This window comes from Homo sapiens, chromosome Y (assembly GCF_000001405.40).
Source record: "Homo sapiens chromosome Y, GRCh38.p14 Primary Assembly".
NCBI lineage: Eukaryota > Metazoa > Chordata > Mammalia > Primates > Hominidae > Homo > Homo sapiens.
Window position 1 is genome coordinate 22,277,738 of NC_000024.10, and position 25,574 is coordinate 22,303,311.

General features: G+C 38.6%; 1 long non-coding RNA gene across 1 annotated transcript; it reads right to left on the minus strand.

The window, feature by feature from the left end:
• Positions 1–19,060: 19,060 nt before the first annotated feature.
• On the minus strand, positions 19,061–21,139 carry TTTY5 (testis expressed transcript, Y-linked 5). Its single transcript, NR_001541.1, has 2 exons — positions 20,569–21,139; positions 19,061–20,051 (listed from the first exon to the last, which is right to left on the minus strand). It is a non-coding gene; the product is annotated as a testis expressed transcript, Y-linked 5 (long non-coding RNA).
• Positions 21,140–25,574: the final 4,435 nt, after the last annotated feature.

Below are 25,574 nucleotides of genomic sequence, written 5' to 3' on the forward strand. Positions count from 1 at the left end.
CAATAATTATTGATAGAGCAGGAGCAGTGGCATCTCGGACAAACCACCACTTTTAAATTCCATCTCCTTTTCTGGCCATATATATTTCAAGGAAATCACTTCTCTTCTGACTACAAGTGGCTCAAAAGAGCAGGCAGTAAAACACAAATGAGACAACTCAGCACAGAGGGAGATGAAGGGAAAGTCCCTTGAGTAACTGCCAAACTTCCCCTCATACAATGGACCCCAGTAAAACAGTGGTCCTTATTAAGCACATTCCTTTCCCTTCAGGTGCTCTATGTTAGGGAAGCTAAAAGCAGACTGGGGGGACAAGCATGCAGCTGCAGAAAGATGTATGGGAAGACACAAAACTCTCCCTCCCAGACAAGCACAGCAAAGAAACACAGAAGCAGTCCAAGCCTCTGATAAACTCTCCCACCCTGAATCCTTAAGAACTCTTAGTCTCTAAGAAAGTGTGCCTCTGACCTAACTCAGCCAGAAGGTGCCCTCTCAGGTTTGTTTTCTCTAAAATAAATCTGTCATTACTGGTGAGCCACTTTTTGTGTTTCTTTCCTCTCTCTTTATTTCTTACAATCATAATAAATGTAAATGATCTAAACTCATTCATTAAATATAAGCTAAATAATACTTAACAAGAGAGAAGCCTAATGCATCAAACAAATGGGGACTGAAAATAAAAGGATAGAAAGAAATAAACTAGGTAAATACTAATCAATAGAAAGATGATATCTTTATATTAATTTTATAAAAAGTGAGCTTTAATACAAGAAAATACATATTTTTAAGGATAGAGAAGGCCGTTTCCTCATGGAAGTCTTTCTTCAACAAGAAGTTACTTAAAATGTGTGTGCACCTAATAAAATAAGCACACGTATATGCTCAAAAAGGATTACATTTCAGGGATATGTATTTTTTAATCCACCCATATGGTTATTTTATGTGTCAGTTTGGGCCACTATGTGCCCAGATGTGTGGTCAAGCATTATTCTGTTGTGTCTGAGAGGGTGTTTCTGGATGAGATTAACCTTTTCATTAATGAATAAGAAAGATATAAGATTTGAGTGGAACAAAAAGGATAAAATATAAGGGTATACTTCCTTCCTGACTGTATTTGAGCTAGGGCTTTGAATTTTTCTGCCTTTAGATTCAAACTAAAACCTTGGCTCTTCCCAGATCTCAAGGTTACCAGCCTTCAAACTGGAAACACACCATTGGCCACCCTGGGTCTCTGGCCTTTGGACTCAGACTATAACTATACTATCAATCCTCCTGGGTGTCCAAAATGCCAACTGTATTAGAACTTGCCAGCCTTCATAACTGCAGGAACCAACTATTTATAATCGATTTCTTTCTCCATATATTTGTGTGTATATATACATACACACACATAAATATATGTGCACATACACATATGCACATATAAACACCGTGTATATATGTGCAAATATACACATGCATGTGTGTATATATATATGTATATATGTGTGTGTGTGTGTGTATATATATATTTGTGGGTATAGGTGTGTATACACATACATATATGCATCGTATTTATTTCCAGTACTGTGGCAAATCCATAATATTACAACACCCAAAATGGGTGACTTCAATAAAAATTTCTTGGAGATTGATATGTCAGGTTTATAAAAAATATTAAAAACAAGTTTTGAAAAATTAAACATTCTAATAGATATATATCAATTTCTAATTACTATAATTAGAGAGAAACAATATTCTCAAACACAAATGAAACTTCATTATTACCATTTTACATTTGGTCACATGATAGTATGTAAGCAAATCTTAACAAATGTCAAATAATCAGTGTCATAAATGCCACAAGTTCTTTGACCTCAGGCAATTAGGTTGAAGTCGTCTACAAATGATTTGTTTCAGTCACCATTTATTGGAAAAATGAAAAAAACACAAGAAAGCAATTCTAATGAATCTTTTGGATCTATACATCAAACAAAAATAAAAATATTCAAATATACTCACATATGTATAGAAAGATGTCTGTGTAAGATCTTGTTGTTGTTGTTGTAGCAAAAGCCTTGGAATGACAGAACTGTTCATCATGAAATAAAGAACTTCTTTATTACAGTATATTGCCTCCAGAAAACGGTATGCAATAGCCTTAGTGCTATTAAAGAGAACATATTTGCTCTTTGTTGATAAAGTAGTATTAGGATAAATAAGGTAGGTACGGAACAGCACATAGAGTATACACTCATTTTAACTTAAAAATTATATGTTTTGATATATATTTCTGAGAAATTGAACAAACTTCTCTTAGGGATAACTTCAGAATGGAGAATTATACATCTGGGCTTACGTACTCTGTGGTGTTGTCTAATTTTTTTTTCTTTCATATCCTTTATGCATTTACAACTTAAAAATACTAGTTAAAATGTAGAATGAATCAGAGAATCCTAGCCTAAAAATATGTCTTCTGAAATGTTGTCAAATGGCTTTCAGATCCTTTCACAAGTGACTTTTTTCCTTTGGTTTTAGCAGTGGCATGTGCATTGGGATATTCTTCAATAGAATCCATCCTCATGAAAGTATACCACATGATGTCATCAGTAAATTAATGTAAAAAGGAGAATTGGATTTTCAAACCATAATTCTCTGGACTAAAGACACTGGGTGCCAGGAAAAGGAAAGGAGAAACCTGGAAAGAAGAAGGTGAGCCAAAGACGCTGATACTTCCTCAGTCACGATTTTGGTCTGACAACAAAATTTCAGGTTGAGATGTCACCGAATGATCTTAAAACTCTTGAAAGATTTCTTGCAGTCCTTATTTCTACAGATAAGAGTATCAAGATCTGCAATATTCTTCATTGTAAGACCTGGTCTGAAGGGAAAAAATGATCGAGATTCTGGGGAAAGTGAATAGAGAACTCTGATGAAAGCAATGGTTAACATAGGCCTCAAACTTAAAAGCGTCAAATTTACATAAACATACTTTTTTTTAAGCCAGCGTAATTTTAATTTTATTGTAGTCGTCACCTGCAGAGACTGTTTATGTTGGAGAAGTGATTACAGAAATCTGAAAAATCTGATGAGAATACTTAAATTTAGCACACTCCAGAAGCCCAGATCTGAAAAGCAAAGGTGGTTCTAATATAAAAGCACAAATTCTGCCTTTCTGCTCTACTGGGCAGTGAAATATTGCCCATATGAAAAACAAATGGAGCGTTAAATGAAAAGTGATGGGATTAAGAGGAGTCATTGCTTAGTGAGTTAAAATGACACACAAATAAATTGAGAAGAAAAGAAACACAGTGATAGAAAATATACTATTGATTTAATTCAGAATAATTTTTTTTGTCTATTACCATTAAATAGTACCATTACAATAATATGATTTTGTATATTGACTTCTAACATGTAAGTGGATTTATTTTGTATATTTGGAAACCTGATCAAGGTTCTTTAGACATTTTATTTTTTCCCAAATTTCCTAGCTAATAGCTAGCTAAATGCTAGTTGCCTGAATGCCTCTCACTAAGTTGTTTGTCTTTTCCTGTTACTTTTAATATGAATTTGTTGTGTATTTTGTTGGCATCTTTACTAAATCTACAGGTGTTGAAGTTGTTCAGATCTCAGTCATGGATCCTCTTGCGTTTTCTCAAGGCTAAAACACCCTTTCTATGCTGACCATTAAGAAATTCCCAACTTCAGGCCAGATCTTTGTTCTACCTTCAGACTTGGCATATCCAACTGCATGTCTTACATCTCCACATACCAAAACCAGCCCTTCATTTCATGCCCAAAACATGTTTCCTCCTACGATATTCCACTATTTCAGAAATTCACAGCACAAAATACCCTGTATTTCAAGCTAGAAATGTAGAGGATGATCCTTGAGGCAGCCTTTTCTCAATGACTCTTCATCATTTACATCCAACTTTTCACAGGTTGTGTGTCCTCTCCGAGAATTACATAGTCTTAGTAAATAAAGAGTGGCCCACAAGTAACCTTCAATCGTCCAGTTTTTTTTTTTTTTCAATTCACGCCAGTTTCTCTACAGAACAGCTGGAGCTCTGCAATGTCAATGTTGGCGTAAGTACCATTCTCTGCCAGTATCACTATTTTCTTTGTCAAGAGATAAATATTCCTGTAAAATGTTCACACAAAGCTATACTAAGTAACAAAGTTAAATGATGCTCTTGTTTTACAGAAAAGTACAAGGTAAACAGAATAATTTGTTATTATATGATCTTTATAACTACACACACAGGTAATAGATATTTTGGACCCCACTTCATACATCTGAAATTTGGGTCTCAAAATAATTATCTTATCTTAAAGTCTAATGTCAGATTACAGAACTGCCTCTTTCCACAATATTGTGCTATCTCCGTTTAAGAACCAGCTGGTGAATCATTAGGAACAAAAAATGTCCTTTTCTTGAACATCTCCAAGGTGAGCCAAAAATCTAAATTTTCTGTGGAGATGTTGTCATGGGCAATTTCACCAAGACTTTTACAAATTTAACCACAGTTATGCCTCAGTGGCCTACCTGTTTATTCAATACCTGCACACCTGCTTTAACACAGAAAAATTTGGAAGTTAATACAAGTATTAACTCTTATCATTATAGACGCTGACATCTGAAGACGCTTTCTAATATTCCATGAATATGTGAAATTCAAAATGTCAGTATAGTCTCCAAAATATCAATGTAATCTTAGTAGCAGTGGATCATTTACAGAAGACAATTTTGCCACAATGGTCAAATATTTTTGTTAAATACTGCTATTTTATAGCAATACATAGCATTAACTGACACACAGTGTATAGCTGGAAACAGGTTCATAAAAGAAAATGTTCAGAAATAGTTTTCTTACTTTTTGCTAAATTGCAAACTAATAGGTCAATTACTCCTATGCAGTGCTAGATAGTTGGAGTAGCATTTACCAAGAAAGAGAAAGAAGACAGGGGCATATGACTTGAGAAGGCAGGAGTGAGGAAAAGATAAGGTATTTATTCCTGACTCCTGACTTGATGTTCTTTGATTCTTTTTCTTTTGTTGTTGTTTTTGTTGTTTTACTTTATCTTACGTGTTAGACCAGAGTTTCACAAACATCCCCAAATAATTACAAGGGTCATAAAAATATATCCAGATACTTCTTTTTATTTTCCTTCAAAATCCTGGTTCAATCATTTGAAATGAGACCTGGAGAACCAGTAATTCTAACAAGTATGCTAATTGATTGTTACCAAAATGACTATTGTGAAATATTTAGAAAACCATTCAGGAACTAGGTAATCAACATTTAATAATTGGTTCTTGCTGTAAGGGTAAAGGATTTTATTGAAATAACTCTTTACATGCAAGTTTTATGAAAAAGATAGAATTCAGCACTTTAGTGCTTTCTAATTTGTATCTTTAAAGAATGTTTTGCTAAAATGGCAAAATTATTTTTTCATTAGAAGTTAGCATTATGGCCACGAATGACTTCTGAGTTAGCTTTTTGAAAATCTTCAGGTTGTAAATTCTAAAAATTACCTTGTGGTATTATAAAACTCCAGAAAATTACTAAGAAAAATATACATAAAAATACCAGTATCCAAAAAAATCAAAATAACTTACAAATAGATAAGAAAATATATAGACAATCTAGCCCAGTAGAAGAAAGCAGGACAGGTAAATAGATCCATTTTAGAAAATAGGAAAGTCAAATGAGCAACGGAAAATGGCTAGATGCTTGAGCTCATTAGTAATACAGGATATAAATCAAAACCACATTACGTTCCAACTTTTGCTCATTAGCTTGGTAACTATTAAATTAATAATACCGAGTGTAGTCAAGGGTGTAAGGAATAGTAATTTGCTTCCATCAATCACAGGACTATCTAATGATATTTAGTAAAATTAGGGTGACTGAAACTTTTATTGTTCCAACGGAAACTTTTTTTAGAATAAACAGTACTAACATACATAAAATTATTTAATATTTATTATATTATTTCCTTGCAGGCAATTTTTTATTATATCAGTGGATCTATGAAATAGTTATCTTCTAACTATTTTTGAAAATGAAATCCCTTCAAAAATTTAATGCCACAATTACATATTTTGAGGCAAAATAGGAAAATAACTTCTTTATATTTATTATTTAAATATTTAAAAGTAGGCAGAATAATTATTCCAGAACATATTTATATGAATTAATCTGTTTCTTAACATAATTATCTCTAGTTCTTTTCTGCAAAATCCATTTGTTTTAATATTATATTGATTTTTAAATAAAGTTTCTTGCAAGCTTTTCCAAAGTTGCTGCTTCTTGTCACCAATAAAGGTTATTAACAATGTTTAGCTTTTTAAGCGAAATTTAAAAAACCATTTATCATATTTTTCAATGTTTTTTATTTTGGCACAATAATATTCCCACAGCTTTACTTTGGTCCCAATGATTGACTAAAAATTCAAACCACTTTTTAATCTAATTTTCTGTTTGAAACATCTAAATGGCATTATTCAACTCTTTTGGAATGTCTTCTTTAGGCAATGGAGCTAACATACTAGCAATTATTGATGCATATTTCTTAAGTGCAGAAAAATTGAGTTAAAAATGTACACAATTGATTTTAAAAAATTGCAATCTGATTTAAATAAAAAGCCAAGCATCTCAGAATTACATGCTCAATTTTTCCAAATTCACATATTAAACCTGTGAAAATATCATCTTCAGGCATAGTTTTCTTAATGTAACTAAGTATTACCTTTTGGAATAGCAGCTGGTTTTTCCCCTAAGCCCTCCATGTTCTGGATTTCAGGATATCACTTTTAGCCTGTGTTCCCAACATGGACTACAAGGCTTTATGATTATACCATGTGTTTATTGGCACTTTTCAACCCATAATTTGATTGAAAGAGAAATCGGGTAGTTTTTAATTAAATATCTTCTTGCACTTTTAGGCCATTGCTGCTGAAACAGAGTTCTTAAAAAAAGTCATTAGCAAACAGCCAATAAATAAGCAGTTGTAGGTATATGAGAGATGACAAAACCACTGTGGCCAGACAAATTAAGTATTCTCTGTGAGCTAACTTCTATTTCCAGCACATAATTAATGTATACCTAGCCTATTATTTCCTTCACTTTCCCCAAACCCACCATATGATGATCTGGTAGTGTCATGTAAGTGAGCAACATAGAAAAAAACTATGTAAAATACTTCTTCCATCACCAGGCAAGACTGGAAAAAGCTGGCCATTTCTAGTCAATACTGACTCATTGAATATTGATTTATTATCAAGCACTCTGCTGCATGCTGTTCTTGAAAAAGAAGCATTATCTATGTTTTGTACAAACTGTGTTAGGAAAATAAAGTTGATCTTCATACTTATCCCCCAACTCATCGTTCTGTTAATATTTTATTTTCCTCACATACTGATAGAGCCCTGACAATAGGTATAATTATTAAACAAAATGAACATTTGACAAACACATGCTGGTCCTAATCAATGTAACTTATAATAATACTTCATTAAAAATGGAAAATCTGAGACATATGCTAAGCTGATTAGCATGGATGAGCAATAGTAATAAAGTGGTAGCCCTGGGAACTAATGAGAATATTTTATCCCCTCAAAGTTAAAACTGTATGCACACTGCAGTCCAGCCATTCTTCTAGTATGTTCATTATAAACTCTCACACATGTGTACCCAGAGGCATAGGGAAGGTTTTTCATTGTCGCATTTCAATAAACACATAATAGAACATAATGAAATTCAGTAGAATAAGAACTATGCTATCATAATGGCAGCTCTCAACAAGAATGTTAACAAAAAAAGTGAAATAATGCACAGCTTATAATATTCATAAAAACATTAGAAATGCACAAAACACCAGTATTGTTTAGAAATAAAGATTTTAATAAATTTATAAAATATATGAAGATAATACCAGGTTCATGATTACGGTGCCTCTAGAAATAGAGAAAAGCAAATGAACCAGATGGGGTGTATTCCAATTACAACCAGAGATAATGTAAATAGAACAAGGAATGTATTAATAGCTGTTATTTTTAAGTGGGGTTAAAATGGTGTTTATTATGTTATTTTGTATTTGTATTTTTTTAGTTTTGCTCAAAAACAAAATAATTTTATAATGAACAATATTCCGCATAAATTGGAATCACCTTGTGAAGTAACTGCTTTAAAATTTCCCGGTCCCCACTGCTGCTTTCAAGGAATTTTTAAAAATTAAAAATTGGATAATGTGGTATCTTTCAAAGAAAAACGTTTTACCTTTATAAGTATGAAATAAAATGTATTACCAGCACATCTCATTTTTGACTCGTTATCCACGTAAAATCATGCAGTGAAAGAAGACAGAAGGACATAGGCAGAATTTGACCTATGAATAGAGGTAATAATTGTATGTTTATTTAAAATATTTTATTAAGACATACGAGTGGCCAAGAAATATAAGAAAAGTGCTCAACATCACTGATTATGAGAGAAATGCAAATCAAAACCACAACAAGATACCATCTCATACCAGACAGAATGACTATTATTATTTAAAAACCAAAATAAAAAAACATAACGAAGGTGGTCAAGGCTGCAGAGGAAAATAAATACTTATCCACTGGTAGAGAGAATGTTCAGTCACTGTGGAAAGCAGTTTGGGGGATTTCTAAAAGAACTAACAGGCCGGGCGCGGTGGCTCACGCCCGTAATCCCAGCACTTTGGGAGGCCGAGGCGGGCAGATCACGAGGTCAGGAGATCGAGACCATCCTGGCTAACACGGTGAAACCCCGTCTCTACTAAAAATACAAAAAAAATTAGCCAGGCTTGGTGGCGGGTGCCTGTAGTCCCAGCTACTGGGGAGGCTGAGGCAGGAGAAGGGCGTGAACCCGGGAGGCGGAGCTTGCAGTGAGCCGAGATCGCGCCACTGCACTCTAGCCTGGCTGACAGAGCAAGACTTTGTCTCAAAAAAAAAAAAAAAAAGAACAATAGAACTAATAGAACTACCATTCCAGCCAGTAATCCTATACTCGGTATATGTTCAAAGGAAAATAAATCATTAAAGCTATGAAAAAGACACAAGAATTCTCATATTCATCACCATAATGAAGACATGGAATCAACGTAGGAGCAGATCCATGGCACATGGGGTACATATGAACCTGGAATAGTACGCAGCCATAAAAAGAACAAAATCATGTCCTTTGCAGCAACGTGGATGCAGCTGGAGGTCATTAACCTAAGCAAATTAATGCAGAAACAGAAAATCAATATTGAATATTCTCATAAATAGGAGCTAAAACTTCGGTGCGCACAGAAATAAAGATGAGAACAATAGACACTGGAGACTTCAAAGCAGGGACAGAGGGAGAGGGGCAGGGGCTGAAAACCTTCCTATTGGGTACTAAGTTCACTATCTGAGTGATGGGATCAACAGAAGACTAAACATCAGCATCACACAATACACCTTTGTAACAAGCCTGCACATGTACTCTCTGAATCTATAATAAAAATGGAAATAAAAAATGAAATAAAATATTATTAAAAGAAATAACAAATTACATTTTAGAAGTGACATTACTGCAGTCATACATAATTCAAATATGCTGATAAAGTCTATATAAGCTTTATGGAAACAGTGAATAGTCTCCTGACTGTCTTTAAAAGTATAAAAGATGGGATAGCTACCTTTATGCAAATTAACTAGACTTCAGTTGCACTAATTAAGACAGCAGCAGCTGAGTCAAATGATAATATACAAGTTATAATTGATGCCAAAATTCTACCTTATTATATATTGACTTACAAAATCATATCCCAAGTTTTCTTCTATTTTGAGAAACATCACTCTACTAATATATAGAACAAATATTGATTTTGCAGAATTGCATGATTTCAATAGAGCACATTTCATCTTCAAATATGATAAGCACTTTCCAATCCATAAAACACTGTTAGAAAAAAGGGTCAATCAGGCTAGACACACAATTCAAAGAGCCTGTGAGGTTGCAAATCACTTATGCCTCAGTCTCCTGTTACCATGATAATGCATAGCACTTACATAATGTTTCTTAGCTTGAAAGACCCTAGGAACTTTAACTAATTAATCCTTAGACTACCCAGTGAGAGAGTGATGAGAAGTCCCTTGAAGAGATCATTTAACTATATAATTCACACTTACTTAAATGTAATTCAGCTTATGTGCCATGTTGTGTTTTCCTAGCTTTCTATTTCAATCTTCAGAGAAATAATATTTATCTGTGAATATATGATGCATAGGCATCTATTATGAATAAAACTATGTAGACTGCACTCTATCTGCTACTAAAAGGGAACAGATATATGTACGTCCAACATGCAGAAAAACATCTGGTACATTCTGCTGTATTTTCTTGTCTTATTCATTTCATATCTTATTTTCAGATATTTCAGACTGGACTTCTTAGATTTGAATAGGCTAAAGCTTTTAAAAAGAGGAATATACAATTTTCTTTTTAATTTTGTAATTACTTTATTTTTGGAGAGTGTATTAAAATTCAACTTTTATAATTATGCTGAATGTAAAAGAATGTCAGATGTGAATGTTTCACCTAAATGAAAGAATATTTAATTCTTCAATTTAGAATTCTCTCTAGTAAGATTTCCTTCTCTGCAGGTAGTTGGCTACAGGGGTCTACCAAAACCAATCTATTTCTGCAGTAAAGGCCAACACTGGTTTACTCAGGAAAGAATTCTTTTCTGAATGGTAATGCCTAGGTTTTCTTCTAGGGTTTTTATGGTTTTAGGTCTAACGTTTAAACCTTTAATCCATCTTGAATTGATTTTTGTATAACGTGTAAGGGAGGGATCCAGTTTCAGCTTCCTACATATGGCTAGCCAGTTTTCCCAGCACCATTTATTAAATAGGGAATCCTTTCCCCATTGCTTGTTTTTCTCAGGTTTGTCAAAGATCAGATAGCTGTAGTTATGCGGCATTATTTCTGAGGGCTCTGTTCTGTTCCATTGATCTATATCTCTGTTTTGGTTACCAGTACCATGCTGTTTTGGTTACTGTAGCCTTGTAGTATAGTTTGAAGTCAGGTAGTGTGATTCCTCCAGCTTTGTTCTTTTGGCTTAGGACACTGTTGGTGGGACTGTAAACTAGTTCAACCATTGTGGAAGTCAGTGTGGCGATTCCTCAGGGATCTAGAACTAGAAATACCATTTGACCCAGCCATCCCATTACTGGGTATATACCCAAATGACTATAAATCATGCTGCTATAAAGACACATGCACACGTATGTTTATTGCGGCATTATTCACAATAGCAAAGACTTGGAACCAACCCAAATGTCCAACAATGATAGACTGGATTAAGAAAATGTGGCACATATACACCATGGAATACTATGCAGCCATAAAAAATGATGAGTTCATGTCCTTTGTAGGGACATGGATGAAATTGGAAATCATCATTCTCAGTAAACTATCGCAAGAACAAAAAACCAAACACCGCATATTCTCACTCATAGGTGGGAATTGAACAATGAGATCACATGGACACAGGAAGGCGAATATCACACTCTGGGGACTGTGGTGGGGTGGGGGGAGGGGGGAGGGATAGCATTGGGAGATATACCTAATGCTAGATGACAAGTTAGTGGGTGCAGCACACCAGCATGGCACATGTATACATATGTAACTAACCTGCACAATGTGCACATGTACCCTAAAACTTAAAGTATAATAAAAAAAAACCCAAATAAATAAATAAATAAATAAAATAAAATAAATAAAAAAAAAGAATTATTGTAGTCTGCAAAGCACAGTACCTCTTTTCCCTTAGCAGAATAAATACTTACCCAGTGTTACTGTTCCGCTAAAAATTCAATTAAAGTTAATCATGTTCTTTTTTGTTACAAAGAAAATCTGGTTAATTTCTAATCCCTTCTCCTAAATCTATTCTCTATAACTATCTAAAATTACATAGACATACACACATGCATACAAAAGGAACAGTACAACTGGAAGACCAAACAATGTGTACATGTGATCTGTTAAAACAAAAACTTTCTACTCTACTATTTTCATTATAATTTATGGTTATAATTCAATCAATTTTAAATGAGTGCTTAAGACATCTCTGGAAAAAGTATGTACAATACAAGAAATATTTCCCTATGCATTCACTTTATTTGTAAATATATTTATACAGTAGAGTTAAAATGGTTAACTTTGTTGTCAAAGACTGGTACTGGCTAAAGTTTTGTTTTTTAATATATGTATCCGATTTGTTGTTTGGTATCCTATAAACCTTTTATGCTATATCTAAGACTTAAAATGTTTTAAACATTGGATGTTGGTCTTTATTGGAAGTCCGGTGGGGGGAACTCATGCAGTTGCTGCCTGGGGGATCTTATCTAAAGAAAGAAGTCAATAACAGGCAGCTGAGTGGGCAGTGGTCCAGTGCCAGGTTTTTAGCTGAGACATGAATAAGTTTCTCAGGAATTCTCGGAAGTATCTGACAGAAATGAAACTGGTTTACTAATGCTCTTTAAAAGAATTAGCTAAAGAACATCCAGTAGTGCCCTTAGGAGAAAAAATGAGCAAGGCACATAATTTCAGACAGGAAACATACTAGGTGATTGCAGGAGAATAGAAAATCTCAAGCAGCAGTTTCACATGACTAGCAAAAATACACCGTTAAAGTAGCTGTATAAACTGGAAGCTAATAAGACTCCGAAAAACCAGAGTGTGGGCAAAGCTGGCTAGCAACAACTGGACTCAGCATAGTGTTGGATTTGAGCTAGGTTTCACCTTGGAGAAAATAGCAACAAAAACGACAAAAAATTACTGCTACTACCATGCAGCTCTGCTACTACCATGCATTAGAGCCACTGATCAAAGCCAGCAACTGCCTAAGTATGGCTGGTTCACATTTGAAAACTAGAAGTCCCTGTTTGTTTAATTCATGTTTACTTTTTCTGTTGTATGAAGTAAAAAAAATTCCTTACTGACACAGTGTTGCATTTTTCTTCCTTATTCTGTACCATTTATTTTCTTCTCACATTAGTTATAGTTTGTAACTTATTTTGTCAAATACATGCAATGAGGTAACACTGCAGTACTGCAGAAAGCACACTGCACTGGAAACAGACTCATATAAAAACCAGAAAACATCCCTTATCCTCCCCTGCAGAGCGAGCAATGAGGTCAGGTTGTGGGGCTCCCACCCCAGGCAGCATCTAGGGGTGAAAGTTTATAGCTCCTGAATCCCCAGTGGCCATGTGTTACAAGGTGTTAATTTAGTTTCTCCATCTGTAGGTGGCTTGTGTTAGCTCAATTAGACACTCCACCTTACTGCAAAGACAGAAGGCTTTCTGGAGCCCAGGGTTTTCTGCCTTGGTGTACCTGAAAAATTGGCTCACACATGGGCTTGGAGAATAAGTGCAAGGTTTCATTGAGTAGAAGTTGTCAGCAGATGGATGGGCAGTCAGAAAGGAGATTGAGTGGGAAGGTGGTTTTCCCTTGGAATGGGGCAGGTCAGCGCTCTCCTCCCACAGCCCTGCGGAACTCCATGCTCTGCAGTGGATGGCCTGCCACCTCCGTCCTTGTACTCTCCTTCCTCTGGTGTCTTCTCGAGGTCCAGTTGCTGTGTCTTCTTCTGCTGATGGTTCCTCTCGATGTCCAGCTGCTGTGTATCTGCCTGCTAGGGTCTCAGGGTTTCTTATAGCACAGGATGGGGGTATGGCAGGCAAGGGTGGTCTTGGAAAATGCAACACTTGGGCAAAACAACAGAAGTGCATGTCCTCACCAATTTGGGCAAGAAAACAGAAGTATATGCCCCCACCTAGTTCAGTGAGCACAGGCTTGAGGGTGGAGCCCTAGCCAAGAACCACACTCTCCTCTACCAGGCACTTCCTGGCCCCACCTCCATATCAATACTTTTTTTAAATTTAAAACTCCAAAAATAGTACCCAAATCATTTAGAGAAGACAATTGGAGAAAATGGCTTTAGAAGAGCCAGTCTAGGATTAGGGTCACTACATGGAAAATGGAAACACAGAGAGCATGTCCTGCAGGCCATGGAATCACTGGGGAAACGTATTCCCTGCTGAGAAGGAGACGGACACACACTAGCTTCTCTCATCTTCTTCTTCTCTAATCTCTACAGTGTCACCTTGACTGAGCTGAAACAGGAAGTAATTTTTATGAGGGCTTAGGAACCATGCCTCCCAGTGGTGGGTCTCTCTATTAGAGAACAGTGCCAGGGAGAGGTGATTGATGTACCTGTGGGGATACAAACCCAGGACCTCACACAAAGGATTACCAGAGACAAATATAGTATCAAGGGACCAAGAGAAAAGTAGTCTCAGGAAAGATTCATGCATGATATTTGTGAAAAGACCAAAAAGTAAAACAGAGTTTATGAGGTAGTAAACATAGAAAGAATGTAAAGAAAAGCAGCAAAATTGCAAAGTCCAGGGTATTTACCTTTCCTTTATAGGATTTTGAAGTGCTACTGCAAATGCAAAATTGAAAGAAGAAATTAAGTCTAACATATTGCAATATTCTAAAATCCAAAATTTTTTCACTGAGGTCTAGTGGTTCATGCCTGGAATCGCAGCTCTTTGGGAGGCTGAGAAGGGAGGATTGCTTCAAGTCCAGAGTTCAAGTCCAGCACAGACCTATCTCTACAATATAGCAATACCTATCTCTACAAATGTAAGCAATTAATTAATTAAATTGGACATGATGGCACACATCTGTTGTTTATTTACTCAGGAGTTTGATGTTATGAGAATCAACTTTCAGCTGCCAACAGGGGACAAGGAGAATGAAAAGAATGAAGCTATCTGCAGTTAACATTATTGGATTAATTGAAATGAATGTTAATAGAGATTTTGTTGGCTTTACATCACATTGAGTGTAGTACTTCAAATTGAGTATTTGGTAAGGATAAACTCTTTTCAAATTTCCCACATGTAAAACTGAGGATTAATTAAAAGATTATACAACTGATACATATGGGTATGTCATTTAAATTTATACACACGTGCAAACTTTCAGTGTGCAAATATTTGTCTATATCTAAATACATCCAAATCCATTGATGAACAGTTAGAAATTTAGAAATTATTCTCCCATTTTACCATTCCCTTTTCTAGAATTTTGTCACAGATAAAATTTTTCCTACTGTTTGAAGCCTACTCTCTGGAGGCATGTAATGTATGGATACAGAAAAGCCATGAGATATCACAGGGTTTGTATCAGAGAAAACAATAACACTGGTGTTATATAAGAGCCATTGTGAGAAGAAAGTTATACTTCACATGACTACAAATACAGAAGTATTATTTCATCAAAAGCTGATATCAGTCAATACAATTTGTTTTTAAAGTTTTACTGAAAATATTTAATCCCAAAAGGATTACTCAAGTATAATGTTATTGGTAATAAATAATGATTAAGAATTTCCTTTAATTTGTTAATTGTTTAAAATGTAAGTAAAATACCAAAAAGTAGTGTATAATGTAGTTTCATGAAACATTCTCTATGGTTTATGTAAAATTAATAGCCTCAATGGAATTTTTTGATACAGACAAATTTCCTTATATCATTTTATTATTATACTTTCACTTTATTACTTGCTTGCATGTCATAACTGAAGGAAATAAAAATATTTTATTTACACATATATGAAGAATGAATTTTTGTTTATGTTTTCTAGTGAGAGAAAGTTACCAATAATTTTTTCATATAGGAAAATTTTGACAAGCCCAAAGTTCTTAACTTTCTTTTCTTTTCAAGCTTCTTATTTCAGGCTAGGTATGAGATGGAATTGATTGTGATCATTTTTTTATTTCATTATAACTACTGAGTTTCTGATATAGTGTTACAAATATATAGACTTAAAAGCTTACTTGATCCTTCTTCTTCTCCCTTCGGACCTGTACATATGATATCTGCAGTAATGAGCACTGTTATCTGAAATAATGTTGCTGAAAGATACAAGCATAAATGGAATTATTTACTTATGTGAACTTTTAGGAACAGACAAGTAGAACTGAAAGATAATTATGATATTAATTTAACTCTGCAGTTTCTCACAGAAGTATGATAATGGTGAAAATACATTTAAAAATACTTGCCTCATCCAAAACATGAGGTAGAAAAACAAAAAATTTAATTTGACATAAAGAACAGTTTAAAAGTTGTGGTTATTTCTGGTGAGAGCAAGTAGCACTAAAAATCCTATTTTCCGTGTTGTAATTTATGAAACTATTACTGTACCTTCAGGCTTTAAAAAGAGTTAACTCTAACTTAAGCAACAACCTTAACAGCCATTTCAAACAGTGGGTGCGTCATCTTAGAATTTCTCCGAGAATCTTTTGGGAGAAATATAATCTAATCTAGCTCTCTAAACCATTGAATTAATTAATGAAATTATTATGACTGTAGTCTCACAATTTCATTGTCCTTCTCTTTTTGGTTTTTATGTATTCTCTTTAAAATTCAAAAGCCCCTATGAAGCATATGAAAAATAACAATGACTGAAACAGTTGAAAATAAAAACTAAGTAGCAGCCACATTTCAAGGTTTCCTTTATGAGAATGCTACATTAGCCATGTGATATACACATGGTATAAATCACCATGAGGATGGCACAGAGGCCATCAGCCAGGGCATCTCCAGCTTCTGGGCCAGAGCCACATCTTTGCAGCTGCCCATTCAGAATGACTGGCAGCAGGGGGTGGGCATCTGGCTTCTTGGGGTGGGGAGCAGGGGAGCCAAGCAAGGGGCACAAGGGGTCAGCCAGGAGGCAGGGAATGGGGGATAGCGAAGGGAGCTGAGGCCAGGGTCCTGCAGATAGGAGGGCAGCTTGCTTGAGGGTGTCCTGAGGGCACGTGGTAGGGACTGGGCGCCAAGCTCAGCACTCACACGGGAGAATAGTGGCACCAAGGACACTTCATGCACAGCAGGAAGTTGTAGGGCATGTTTCTCTGGGAAAGTCCTTGAAGGAAGGGATGTCTGCAAGCCCATGCCAACCATAGAAGCTACCCTGGCTGCCCATGTCTGTGTCCAGCAGCCTTACCCCAGAAATACAAGGTGCTTAAGACTCGGGTTCTGGTGTACTGGGCTGCTGTCCTCTGCAAGGCAGGCACCAGCTCCCCAGACAGGCTTTCTTCCCTCTGCCTCGCTGTACCCAAAGAGCTGTAGGCCCTGAGCATATGTAAACTCTGTTGCACACACGCCTCTGTTGCACACACACGAGCCCCATGGGGAGCACCAGGCACAGCCCTGCAGTCCCTTCTACCCATAGCAGCTCCCTCAAGTGGACACTCCCACCCCTCAGGGAGACCAGGAGAAGAGGGGACAGCACACCTGGACACCCTCAGCAGAGCCTGTCCAGCACCCAGTGCACAAGGGCCACATGCAGCTCAGGAACTCTGAGGAAACAGCTGCCTCACACCACAGTACCCCACACCAAAATCCCCTGCCTACTTGTGCTCTCAGCTTATTGTCGGCGAGGCTTTCTGGGCCTCTCTCCACCTGCCCACGAGACCACCACACCCTCTACCATTCCTGCATGCCAGATAGAGACAGAACCACCAGTGCAGGGTGCCAGGCCAAAGGTCAGGGGGATAGCCCTGCCCAACACTCTCCCAGATCTTGCAAAGTTTCAGGTTGTTCTCTGGCATGCCCACCCAATCATCTGGAGGCTCCTTGACCAGAGGCACAGATTGTAGGGCACACCCAGATATTGTCTGGGTTCAGAAAGCATAAGGAAGTCCTACTAAGTAAGCTACAGGATGGATTTGCAGATCAGGCCGGGGAGCCTGGGTCTAGGGGAGGGGTCGAGGGTCCTGGTCAGGTTGAGTTCCTCCTGGACTCCAGGGGTGTCTCAGCAGGAGAGCTGGGAAGCGGAAACACATGCTTCACCCCAGCCAGCAGGCCCTCAGCCCAGCTAGATGAAATCATCCCTTTGAGTCTGTACTCTTCTCCTTGGCCTGGCAGGTGGAGGAACTCAGCTACCCGGGGTATAAGTGGCAGGATGAAGTTTTCCTTTCATCACAAACTTTATTTATGCAATGAAGTGATCATTAAGGAGTATCATGTTGGCATCCTCAGTAAGGAGTGCCTCCTGGCATGGTAGAGGGGGTAGAGTGTGGGATGCTAGGCCTGGCATGAGCCTTCCGGACTCCTGTTGCTCCAGAATACAGGGTGACTGGCTCTACTGTAGTACAATGGTTCTAGACTCATACAGGAGGAACCTCCATCTTCATGCAGGATGCAGCCTGAGATTCTTCAGCTGGTTGGCTGACCATGACTACTCAGGGTCAGCCAGGATTGCTGAGGTGTAGGCCACTGCGGGGCATCATGGGAAAGGACCTTTCTGGTCTTTCCTTGACGTCTGGGGAATTGGCTTTGGACCACGACCTGACAAGTCACGGATGCCTTTCCCCAGTCCCCCAGATCATCATTCAGGGCCTCTGTCTCAATCCCCCCCACAGCACTACTGGAGGGAGTTAGGCCCTGAGAGAGGGAACAGAGAGGAGGCCAGGTAAGCAGCCCAGGGCTGGGGCTGAGAGGCCTGTGGGTCCTGGAGCTGGGATACACAAGGAGAAATCAAGGATCAGGGAGGAGCCTGCAGTGAGAAATCTCAGGCCATCCCAGGGCTGGGGGAGAAAGGCCCATCAGGGAACTGTAACATTCATATTTCAGAATTGGAGAACCTGAAGTCACCTAAAAGGCAGAAGTGGCAAAGGTCAATGGGTGAGAAACAAGGCTCAATGGATAGTTGCCTTATCATCCTTCTCTGGCTCCTTTCTGTGCCTTGAGGCCTGGTAACACCCAGGACACAGTTTGGGCTCAACTAAGGCCCTCTTTCCATCCACGCAGAGGTACACACGAGGTGCACTTAGGTCTACATCCTTCTAGAATGACCAGTCCTATCATGTTGTGTTTCAGAGACTCCAGGTTCCCCTGACATGCTTTCTCCCCTCTGCCACCCTCACTCATGCTGCGCTGGCACTGAGACATTTCCTATGACATTAAAAAACAGACATAAAATTTGTATAATGCCTTAATAGTATAGATGCAGATAAAGTATTTTATTATAAAAAATGCTTTTCCTCCTTACTTATATCAAAGTCTTTTTCATGATGGGGGAAAGAATGCAACATACTTTGGTAAGTTAAAAAAGTATAAAAGTAAAAATAAATCCCACTGTAGACGATCAATTAAATGGCAGGGGACCTTCTGTGTGTGTCCAGCAAGGGAATGTGGCTGAGCATTAAGGTTCATCTGAGTATTGGTGTAGACACCCAGACACCCACCCAGTTTCCCTGGTACCAATGTGAGCGTGTGCACGTTCCAGCCTGCATGTTTGAGCTGGTGCACGCCTGTACACACCTGCACCTGTTTCCCCTTGTGTACCTTTGTTTGGCCAGAGGTGGGGCCCACACTCCCACCCACAGGTGTGCCTCAAACGCAGCTCTTGAGCTGGCAAGCAGGGGACCACTGGGTTTGACAATCCAACTTCAGGACCCGTGAAGCCTGCCCGCTGGGGAGACACGAAGAGTCCTCACAGTTCTCATGAATGGCAGAGGTAGGAGGAAAAGAGTGGCTGGGCGAACTACCTAAAGGAGATGTCATGGACCTGAAATGACATCCGGAGGGAAATAAAACCTAGTAGCTACCTGTGTCTTCCTGTGTGTTCGGTCGGGGAAGGCAGGCATTCAGGGAAGAAGCAACAGAACCTGCAGGGCTTTGGGATTCACTGTCTGGGAATCCCTGTGCACCAGAGAGTGTCTAGCCCATGAGAGACGACAGCATGTGGGTCCTGCAGGGCCTGAGTCTCCAGGGAGGCTGGCATTCTCCCCAAGAGGGCACGGGTCTGTAAGTGGAGGAGAAACCCGGGCTGCGGGGTCGGGTAGATGGGACACTTACCACTAAGCCACGTAGGAGCTCAGGAGAGGTCCTGGTGAGCAACGGCCTAACAGGCCAGTGACACCCCATTCCAGTGCTGCAGGTGCTCATATGACCTTCGCCCCGCACATCCTCTCCAGGATGCCTCACCTGGGAGGATAGGAAGCAAGGCACATAAGAGCTTAAGCTTGAGTGGACCCAGAGGAGGTCTCCAGTGTCACTGGTCCCAGGGGAGCCAGTCTTGCTGGGTCTCTTCAGGACATGGGGAAAATGCACAAGCCCAGCTCTCCACCCAGTGGGTGTCTTGCCATGACAGATACAGCAATTCCACCTAGATTGCAGATCCACAGGCTTACGACTTCCCCCCGGCCTTCTCCGGGACGGGCTCCTGGACTCCGGAACAGCCAGTGCCACACGGGTGTTCCTTCCCAGCCTCCAAGCTCAAGGTAGGCTCAGTGACCCTCCTCCTAGTACATGGCCACCCACAGGCACTGTCAACAACCCAGGGCCCTTGTAGATTCCGAGATCCTGCCGCCTTACCCAGCAGTGGGATAATGGGAAGGGAAAGAGCTGGAACATACAGAGATGAGGCCACAAGCCTTACCCTCCCACATGGCAAGGGAATGAAGAGATCCTTCCCAGCCCAGGGAACGGTTCCCGGACACACCTGGAAGCCCAGCACCAGCTGAGGGATTCACTTCACCACACCTGGGCATGGGGGATTTCAATGTGTGCCGGAGACCTTGATCCTGGGCGCCTATGAGGTATACCTCTTCTTCAGGTCACATTATGCTGACACACTCCTTAACCCGGAGGGACTCCTCACACTAACCACATGGTTTTGGCTGGAAGCATTACTCCTGGTGCCCTAGCCACTGTTTCAAGGTGCAGAGATGGACCAGCAGACCCTTGAGTCCTTGTCCTGTCCAAGTACTATCCATAGAAATAGAAGAGCGGCACATTAGACCTCATGACATTTTTAAGGCTGACCTCTTTATAAGCATTTCTTCCAGATATTTATGAGTTTATGTCATTTATTTTATTTATTTACAGCTCTCGTTTCAAAATCAATTTTTGCTTGAGAGTTATTTCAACATACAACCAAATGTTTGGAGCTATGACATTTAGGTTTTAAGCTTAAAAGTCTGTATCTGCTATTATGTTGGGTAAAACGCATCCAGCACTTATAAAAATAAGTAATTATTAGGCATGGCCATTGTAGTGGTCTCAGTCACATTCTCCACAAACCCATTTGAAAATATTCCTGGTGGTACTGAATACAGTACTTGCTGCTAATGAATAGAAAACAGTGCAAGCCTTCTCTGGATACTGGGACACCTCTGGCCTAGGTTAGAAAAGGTGACACAGCTCTAACTAAATCTCCTGCTCTCATGGGACAAACCCCTCAGGAGCCCCCAACCAGTACATCACAAAGTCTAACACCCTGATAACACTATGCTGAAAGGACATCCCATGGAGAGACTCACAGAAATAGAAGGAAGGCCAGCACGGTGGCTTACACCTGTAATCCCAGCACTTTGAGAGGCCGAGGTGGATGGATCACAAGGTCAGGAGATCAAGACCATCCTGGCTAACACAGTGAAACCCCATCTCTACTAAAAGTACAAAAAATTAGCTGGGCTTTGTGGCAGGCGCCTGTAGTTCCAGCTACTTGGGAGGCTGAGGCAGGAAAATGGCCTGAACCCTGAACCCAGGAGGCAGAATTTGCAGTGAGCCAAGATGGCACTACTGCACTCCAGCCTGAGCAACAGTGCAAGACTCCATCTCAAAAAAAGAAAAAAAGAAAAAAGAAAAAGAAATAGGAGATGCCTGAAGATCTCAGCAGGCCAGCCCCCACTATTTTGAGTCAACCTAGCCATGGCACCAGGGAGACGAGAAGACACCGGACAATGTCCCCATCCTGAGCCATCACTAGATTGCATCCTCCTGAGTGACCCTGAACCACAATCATTTGGCTGAGAGACTGTGGAAGATTGCAGAGACTGATAGTAAATTATAATTATTGTTTTAAGCCACTAAGTTTTACATAATTTTAAAAAGCACTTCAGACTCCTAGGATAACTATAATTATTGTTTTAAGCCACTAAGTTTTACATAATTTTAAAAAGCACTTCAGACTCCTTGGATAATTGAGTTGTCTACTGATTTGAGTAATTGAGTAATTGTGGAGAGCTTTAAAGGCCAATGTCACGAATGCTACCCTGGAAAAGTCAAACTATCAAGACTCTTCTAAACACAACAGATCTTTAATGTCCCTTTGCTATGGCTGGAGAATAATCTAACATGCAACTGATAGAGTTTTTTGAAAGCTTCTGTTCACATCTCTTATCTGGGTAAGGGTCAGCTCTGGTCTGGTTTAATTCTAGTCAACTGCAGCAACACATCTTTCATTTTACATCCTGGCCTACCCTCATATTTTGATCACTGCCTGTGTCTGTGTCTGTGTGTATATGTTTTCTATGTTACCATATTTTACCTGAAGGGGCTAAATAATAGTACTGTAGTTGTTTTGTAAACATAAAGCATTCCAGGAAGACAATATTGCTTATCAACTGAGGTTTAGAACAGATATGAGGTAGGGCATGGAGGCTGCACTCCCAGCAGTTTGGCAGGCCGTGGTGGGCAGATCTCTTCATGTCAGGAGTTCGAGACAAGCCTGGCCAACATAGCAAGATCCCATGTCTAATATCATACCAAAGCTAGCTGGGCTTGGTGGCCCATGGATGTTATCCCAGCTACTTAGGAGGCTGATGCAGGAGAATCCATTGAATCCCAGTGATGGAGTTTGCCATGTACTGAGATTACACCACTGTGCTCCAGCCTGGGCACCAGAGCAAGACTCTGTCTCAAAAATAAAAGTAAAATAAAATAATAAAATAGGAGAGATCACTGAGGAGAGAAATGCATAAAACTGGGTGGGCACTGTGGCTCATGCCTGACATCCCAGCATTTTGCCAGGCTGAGGTGGGTGGATCACTTGAGGACAAGCATTTGAGACCAGCCTAAGCAAACATTGTGATACCTGCTCTCTACTAAAAAAAAAAAAATATATATATATATATATATATATATATATGCGCCAGGATTTATGTCACAGGCCTACAGTCACAACTACTTGGGAGGGTGTGACTGAAGAATTGCTTGAACCCAGGATGGGGAAGTTTCAGTGAGCCAAGATCATGCCACTGCACTCCACCTTAGGTGACAGAGCAGGAGTCTACCTAAAAAAAAAATCAAAGGGAGATACAGAGATAGAGAAAAGAAAGAGAGAGAGAGAGAGAGAAAGAGGTAAAGAAAAGAGGGAAAAAAAGAAAGAAAAAGAAAGAAAGAAAGAAAGAAAGAAAAAAGAAAGAAAGAAAGGAGAAAGAAAGAGAGAGAGAGGAGACGGGGAGAAGGGATGGAGGCGGGGGAGGGAGGGAGGAAAGGAGGGAGGGAGGGAAGACAGAAGAAAAGAAGGAAGGATGGAAGGAAAGGCTGAAGGAAGGAAAGAAGGAAGGGAGGGAGGGAGAGAGAAAGGAAAGAATGAAAGTAAATAAATAATAAAAATATAACTGATAGTAATATTTTTGTTTTACAGTTTGGAAACACAAATTTCCCTTCATCAAATATAAGAATATTTGATAGTCACTAACACAGCACATTTGCTTGTGTATGGGAACCAATGCAGGAAAGCAGTGGGATTGGATACTCTTTCTCCTTAATGGCTGAACACGTAAATACTGTGATGATAAGGGATCACCCTTTCTTTTTGGCATAAAACCAAAAAGAAATGAATAAAAATAAAAACTTGCCATTTTACCCCTTATCCACATGAATTTTGACCTATGTTTAAAATAACATTTAGGTCTCTAGTGGACTAACTGAAACTTTAAAATAAGCTGGTATATATTGTTAAAATTACTTATGTAACTATGGTGTTAACTAAGATTCTTGTAGTTTTCAATGACCAAATCTAATTGACATTTGTCGTCAAATCGCATACTACTAGGGGCAGGGTATTCTGTGTCATGCTGCCTAATCTACAGTAAATTAAAAATGAAATCAAATCTGTGAGAGGTTTTACAGTTACTATTACCAGTAATGACTGTTTTGTTTCCTGACTTGTGGACGGTTTTATTTCCACAGCGTTGATGGCTCTGGCAGAAAGCCTTCTTGGTCCAAACTCACGCCTTATCATATGAAACCTGGAATTGTACACAGCCAGAAAAAGAACAAAATCATGTCCTTTGCAGAAACATGGATGAAGCTAGAGGTCATTAACCTAAGAAAATTAATGAGGAAACAGAAAATCAAATACAGCATAGTCTCACTTATGAATAGGAACTAAAACTTGGGTGTACACAGAAATAAACATCAGAACATTAGACACTGGGGCCTCCAGTTATTGGATGAGCAGGCAGGCCACTGAAGCATAACTGTGGTTAAAGTTGTAAAAGTTTTGGCAAAATTGCACATAACAACATCTCCACAGAAAACTTAGAATTTGGCTCAGCTAGGAGATGTTGAAGAAAATGACGTTTATTTTATTCTTAATTATTCCCCAGCTGGTTCTTGAAGGGAGATAGCACAATATTGTGGAAAGAGGTAGTTTTTTAATCTGAAATTAGACTTTAAGAGAAGTTAATTATTTTGAGACCCAAATTTCAGATGTATGAAGTGGGGTCTAAAATATCTAGTACCTATGTGTGGTTATAGAGATCATATAATAACAATTCTATTTGCCTTATACTTTTCTGTAAAATAAAGACATCATTTAATTGTGTTACTTAGTATAGCTTTGTGTGGGCATTTTTAAGGAACATTTATCTCCTGATACATAAAATAGTAATACTGGCAGAGAATGGTACTTACTTCAACATTGACATTGCAGAGCTCCAGCTGTTCTGTAAAGAAACTAACATGAATTGAGAAAAAAAAGTGGATGATTGAAGATGACTTATGGGCCACTCCTTATTTACTAAGACTATGTAATTCTCGGAGACGACACACAACCTGTGAAGAGTTGGATATGAATGATGAAGAGTCATTGAGAAAAGGCTGCCTCAAGGATCATCCTCTACATTTCTAGCTTGAAATACAGGGTATTTTGTGCTGTGAATTTCTGAAATAATGGAATATCGTAGGAGGAAACATGTTTTGGGCATGAAATGAAGGTCTGGTTTTGGTATGTGGAGATGTAAGGCATGCAGTTGGATATGCCAAGTCTGAAGGTAGAACAAAGATCTGGCCTGAAGTTGGGAATTTCTTAATGGTCAGCATAGAAAGGGTGTTTCAGCCTTGAGAAAACCCAAGAGGATCCATGACTGAGATCTGAACAACTTCAACACCTGTAGATTTAGTAAAGATGCCAACAAAATACACACCAAGTTCATATTAAAATTAATAGGAAAAGACAAACTACTTAGTGAGAGGTATTCAGGCAACTAGCACTAGGTCTATTAGGTAGCAAATTTGGGAAAAAATAAAATGTATAAAGAATCTTTGATCAGGTTTCCAACTATACAAAATAAAAAACACATGTTAGAAGTCAATATATAAAAATTAGATTATTGTAATGGTACTAATTAATGCTAAGAGACAAAATGAAAATTATTCTGAATTAAATCAACAGACAATACATTTTCTTTCATTTTCTTTTCTTCTCAATTTATT